The following is a 6,014-nucleotide window of genomic DNA, read 5'->3' as shown; positions in this document are numbered from 1 at the left end:
CCTCAATTCCTCTGTTTCCCTCACCCGTACAACAATCTCTCAACTCAGTCCATCAGCCCTATCTCCAAGCCTCCCTCAAGCCTGGCGCCTCCTCACCAACTCTGTGGCCATGCCACAGTACAAGCTATCATATCCCTCGCCTACACTGCTGCCATGGTCTTCCACACCTGCCCCCAGAAGCCAGGCTCATTCAGCCATCAAAATTAGCTCTTTGACTTCACTGAAATGAAAAACGCTTGTGCTCCAAAGGGCACCATCAAGAAAGTAAAAATACATCTAATCCACACCACCGACAAAAATAAAAAAAAAAAACCCACAAAATGGAAGAAAATATCTCCTGGTTATATATCTGATAAAGAGATTTTACCCAGAATATATAAAGAGCTCTTATAACTCAATAATAAAAAGACAATTTTAAAAGCTGGGTGCAGTGGCACGTGGCTATAGTCTCAGCTACTTGGGAGGCTGGGGTGGGAAGATCGATTGAACCCAGGAATTTGAGACCAGCCTGATCAACACAGCAAGACTTCATCTCAAAACAACAACAAAAGACAATTTTACAATGGGCAAAGTCTAAGAAACATTTCTCCAAAGAAGACACACAAATGCCCAGTAAGGCCAGGCACGGTGGCTCACATCTGTAATCCCAGCACTTTGGGAGGCCAACGCAGGTGGATCACCTGAGGTTGGGAGTTCAAGACCAGCCTGGCCAACATGGTGAAACCCTGTCTCTACCAAAAACACAAAAATTAGGTGGGCATAGTGGCGCACATCTGTAATCCCAGCTACTCAGGAGGCCGAAGGAACAAGAATCACCTGAACCCGAGAGGTGGAGGTTGTAGTGAGCCAAGATCGCACCACTGCACTCCAGCCTGGGCAACAGAGCGAGACTTTATTTCCAAAAAAAAAAAAAAAAAAAAAAAAAAAAAAGGCCAATAAGCACATAAAAAGATGTTCAGCACCATTACTCATCAGGGAAATGCAAATCGAAACCACAAGGAGATACCACTTCATACCCACTAGGGTATGAACAAGTGTTAGCAAGGATGTGGAAAAAACTGTATACATTGCTGGTGAAAAATAAAATGGTGCAGCCACCAGTGGGCAGTTCTTCAAAAGGTTACAGAGTTACCATGTGACCCAGAAGTTCTATTCCTAGGTTTATGCCCAATAGAAATGATAACATATCTACAAAGAATTTGTAGATAAATGTTCATAATATCACCACTCATAATAGCCAAAATGTCAAAACAACCTAACTGTCCATCAACTGATGAATGGACAAACAAAATGTGATCTATCCACACAATGGAAGCCTGTTCAGCAATAAAAAGGAATGAAGTACTGATTCATGCTACAACACGGAGGAATCCTGAGAATATTATGCTAAGTGAAAGCAACCAGGCACAAAACACCATATATTATATGATTCCATGTATACAAAATGTCTAGAATAGGCAAGCTGTAGGCAGAGTAGGTCAGTGGTTGCCCAGGGCTGGGAGAAGAAGGGGTTAGGGTGTATTGCTGAAGGGTACGGAGTTTCCTTTTAGGGTGATGAGAAAGTTCTAAAATTGACGTAGTGACGGTTGCATAGCTGTGAATACAGTAAAAACCATTGAATTGTATATAAATGGGTGAACTGTGTGGCATGTAAATTATATCTCAATAAAGCTGTTACCCCCCAAAAAACAAAGGAAAATATCAGCTCCTTCAAAGAGAAATCAGACCATACTACCCATTCTACTCAAAACTCCTCACTGGTTGCCCAGTGCTCTAAGAATAAAAACCAAATGCCCCGTGTGGTCTAAGCCCTTTGCAGCTCCCCTGTCACCTCTCTACCCGTCTCCACTTGTCCTCCAAGTTCTAGCTCCACTGACCCACTCTGTCCCACTCAGGTGTCATAATTATTTCCTCTATGCAGAATAAATGATCTCACTCCATTTATCTGGCTTCTTCTCAACTGTGGGGTCTCAGCTTAAATATCACCACCACAGAAAGGCCTTCTCTGACCAGATCACTCAAGAGTACCCAACTGTCCCTTCTTTCCTCTATCATATGTGCTTCATAATCCTCATTACAACCTCTAATTGCTTTATTTGCTAAACCATTTAAAAATCATCTCTCCTACAAGAATGTAAGCAACATGAATTCTCTCTTGCTTACCAAGGTAAATCCTAGTATCTAATAATAGCTTTGGCACAGAGTAGATGCTCAGTAAAGATTTGTTAACTTCAGGTCTTACTGCAAAACAATAGTCTCAATCCAATTTTTAAAATTGGGCTGGGCATGATGGCTCACGCCTGTAATCCCAGCACTTTGGGAGGCCGAGGTGGGAGGATTGCTTGAGGCCAGGAGTTCGAGACCAGTCTGGCCAACATGGCGAAACCCATCTCTACTAAAAAATACAAAAATTAGCCAGGTGTGGTGGCGCACACCTGTAATCCCAGCTACTTGGGAGGCTGAGGCAGGAGAATCACTTGAACCTGGGAGGTGGAGGCTGCAGTGAACCAAGATCGTGCCACTGCACTCCAGCCTGGGTGACAGAGTGATATTTCATCTCAAAAATAAATAAATAAATAAAAATATAATGAATAATGCTTCCTTAGTCATGACTATTTCAGTTAAAAAAATACAAAACACCACCCTATGGCATCCTTCAAGTTACGATGCTTCCTTTCCCCACTAGCCCTGTCAATCTCATAACCCTGGAAGGTGGCAGCTAGCCTTCACTGCTGACTACTAACACCCAACTGCCACCCAGATGGATGATTTCTCAAACTGGAGCTAGGACTAATATAGAGTCTAAGTCATCCACTTCGCTGTACAATAACCATGTTATCAGAGTGCTCTGGGTACACTAATGGTTTCAGGATTCTCTCCAAAATCCCTAGGAAGCAACAATTTGTATCCCTATTGTAGAATCTATGTTTGAAATCTGGCTACGACATCTATTAATTATTTGAGTATTAAATTATTAAGGAGGAACGTAATGAGACTGAGGCAGTCATTTATCTTCCAGACAAAATTTTGTCACTTCCTTGCTCCCATCCCCATTGGCTACCCAATGGTCACAAGCTAAAGCCTAACACAAGCATGGAAATTAGACACTATGACAAAACAGTCTATATCTAACTTCATCTCAGGCCACTCTTCCATCCACACACTGTGCACTCCCTACCCTTTAGCAATCACCCCTCTACACGCTTCTTCTCTCAGCCCTGGGCAACCACTGATCTCCTCTCTGTCTACAGTTCGCCTATTCTGGAGATTTCATCAAAATTGAATCATATAATATGTGGTATTTTGTGTCTGGTTGCTTTCACTTAGCCTAATGTTCTCAAGGTTCCTCCATGTTGTAGCACAAATCAGTACTTCGTTCCTTTTTATTGCTGAACAGCCTTCCATTGTGTAGACAGGCCACGTTTTGTTTGTGCATCCATCAGCTTTCCATCACAGTCCCTGCACACACCATAACCTGTATGTCTCTGCAGAACAAAGTCCCTTTCCACTCTTCCCTATTCCCCCACATGTGCCCTGTAAGAACTAGTCCTCCGCCACCAGGAAGCCTTCATAAATTCCCTCAGATACTTGGTTGGTCTTTCTCTGCTTTCACAGAACTCCATGATGGCAGTTATCGCACAGCACCATCATTATCTGTTTTCTCTCCCCTTCAATGGACTCTTTCTCATCTTCACCTATGTTCTTCTAGTCTGTATACTTTGTGGTGCTTTAAAAGACCAATAAAGAGTATGGTACAATCAATGCTCAATACACGTTTGTTGAATGAATCTCTCTCTCAAAGCACTGTGCTAGATTCACCCAAGTATGACAGCCCTAAATATAAAATAGTGGCAAAAAGTCAATAGAACTCTTATGTCCAGGTCCAAAGAATACATTCATTTTAAATTGAACATGCATCTTGAGTAACAGCTCCCTTCTACCTTAGCAATTCGCAAAGCCATCAACTACTCCCTTCTAATTTTACTGATCTCTCTGTGCATTACTGAATCTAGAAATCTCTTCGTGCTTGACACCAAAGCTTTTCATTATAACCCTTTCCTGATCTATTCCTCATCTTCCCAAGTTCAATCAACTGCCTCTGCCTGATGCCTGTTTCCTTCCTTTTCTTCCCACTAAGTTCCAGTAGCCATTTTTTTCAACTCCTACAGCGGCTAATATGAAATGAAATTCTCCCCAAACTTAAGTGTAACTTCTTTAAGAAAAAATTGGAAAAAAAAATCCAGTAGATGCCAGTCTTCTATTGAAAAAGACACGTGGGTATAATATAGCTGATGCCTAACAAAAGCTACTTCCTAGTCACTCCTTCAGAAGAGGGTTATCCTCATTCCATCTTCCCCACCACTGGTTTTCCAAGGCAGTCCTGAAAATTCAATTTGTGTGTCCCCTACACCTGCACTTAGTTCTCCCTTTTAAAGTTCATGGGCCAGACCATGATCTTTCTGAGGCAGTGACCTCAGGAAGGGTCTGTCTGGTTCACCACAGCATCCCTAGAGCCAGCCTGGCACAGTGCTGGCACACGATGGCCAAATAACCACCAATATGGGACGTAAGTCAGGTTAACAACAACAACAACAAAAATAAGGTCAGAGGTTTATCAAGGTACATTATAGCTGGGTGTGAGAAAACACAAAGTCCTGCAGCCTAAAAGACCAGGAATCGCTGGTGATCACAAGGAGCTACAGTGGCTTCATTCCCAGATTCTACCTATGCCTGGGATTTGCGTTTTGAGATTTCCCAGAACTCTGTCTACAAGACCTTGGCTGCAAGGAGGCAGTCCACAAGTGCAACTGGTCACTCCAATAGATGAGAAAAGGATGCACCCAGGCTGGTATCCCACATTCTGCCAACACATGGAACATAAGTCACAGAACAGAATAAAATTCCTGAATCCCAATAAGAGAGGAAGAAAAAAGTGCAGGGAAGAGAAATGGAGGTAGAGAAGGAGAAACTAAAGTCATGAGAAGTCAGAGACATATCAGAAGGGACTAGAGGGCGAGAACGCAGGCTAGCACAGATGACAGCAGGGGCTCCCCTTTACTGAAATGTACAGCGGCAGGCACCGTGCTTAACTTTACATGCACTGACCCATTTAATCCTCTTACCAAGCCAGAGGTAGAAACTATTCTCATCTCCATTCCACTGGTGATGAAACTGGAGCGGAGTGAGGTAGGGCACTTGCCCCAGCACAGAGCTAGGAAGGGGCCGCTGGGACCTGCCCGGCTCTGACTCCAGGACACCCCATCCTTTAACACTTACTACCTATTCTGCCTCCCATGCCTTCAAATAGGATTGGGAAAGGAGTCATTCACTTATCCACTCATCGAACACTGAACACCAACTGGATGAGTGTCAAGGCCTGGGGCCAGGCGCCGGTGGGCGGATGTAAGGGACGCGGGCTGCGAGTGGGGGACAGAACACGACGTCAATCTTAAGGCGAAGGAGCAGAGCCCGCGGCCAGACCGGCAGCCGGGATGCAGGGTGGGGCCGGGGGCCGAGGGCGCGGGACGCGCAGCGGAGGCCTGAGGAGGGGCGGGCGGCCCCTGTTCCCCGCTGCGGACCGCCGGATTCTGCGGGCGGCGAGCCAGGCGCTCCGTGTGTTGTGGCATTTAGTGTCCGCCACTCCGCGCGGGCGAGACCGCGGGCGAGGGAGACGGGGCGGACGGGCATGGAGACCCTGCGGGGCTGAGGCAAGGGAAGAGTGGCCCGGGGGAGGCCGAGGAGGGGCTCGGGGCCAGGCGTCGGGGGCGTCGGGGGCGTCGGGGCCGCTTGCGGCGTCGCCGGACTCACCTCCCGCGGCAGCCCCTCCGGACTCGTCGGCCCCGCCGGGCCGGAGGAGGCGGGATGGACTCCGGGCCGCGGGGGCTGCCGGGAGCCTGTTCCCTGGGCAACGGGGCCGGCACCGGGGCCAGCACCGAAGAGCAGCAGCTGGCTCCGCCGGGGGCTAGAGCGGCAGAGCCACAAGTGGCAGCGGGCGGGGCGGACGTGACGCAAAT

The 6,014-nt window shown here is 46.8% G+C and overlaps 1 protein-coding gene across 2 annotated transcripts in view, besides 2 other annotated features; it reads right to left on the bottom strand.

The window, feature by feature from the left end:
• The window catches only part of TECPR2 (tectonin beta-propeller repeat containing 2), a 139,537-nt gene extending 133,553 nt beyond the window's left edge, over positions 1 to 5,984 (bottom strand). For both annotated transcript variants that reach the window (NM_014844.5, NM_001172631.3), the window contains exon 1: positions 5,809 to 5,984. The gene's annotated coding sequence lies outside the window, so the exon portion shown is untranslated. The remainder of the gene's footprint in view (positions 1 to 5,808) is intronic.
• Positions 5,451 to 5,540: a silencer, noted in NCBI's record as "silent region_6115". NCBI's record gives its function as "represses an Ori minimal core promoter by ATAC-STARR-seq in GM12878 lymphoblastoid cells {active_cell/tissue: GM12878}" and the evidence as "EXISTENCE:reporter gene assay evidence [ECO:0000049][PMID:35858748]".
• Positions 5,581 to 5,990: a silencer, noted in NCBI's record as "silent region_6114". NCBI's record gives its function as "represses an Ori minimal core promoter by ATAC-STARR-seq in GM12878 lymphoblastoid cells {active_cell/tissue: GM12878}" and the evidence as "EXISTENCE:reporter gene assay evidence [ECO:0000049][PMID:35858748]".

This window comes from Homo sapiens, chromosome 14, assembly GCF_000001405.40.
Source record: "Homo sapiens chromosome 14, GRCh38.p14 Primary Assembly".
In the NCBI taxonomy this organism is placed as follows: Eukaryota; Metazoa; Chordata; class Mammalia; order Primates; family Hominidae; genus Homo; species Homo sapiens.
Note: the sequence above shows the minus strand (reverse complement) of the source record. Positions and strands in the feature narration are given on the sequence as shown.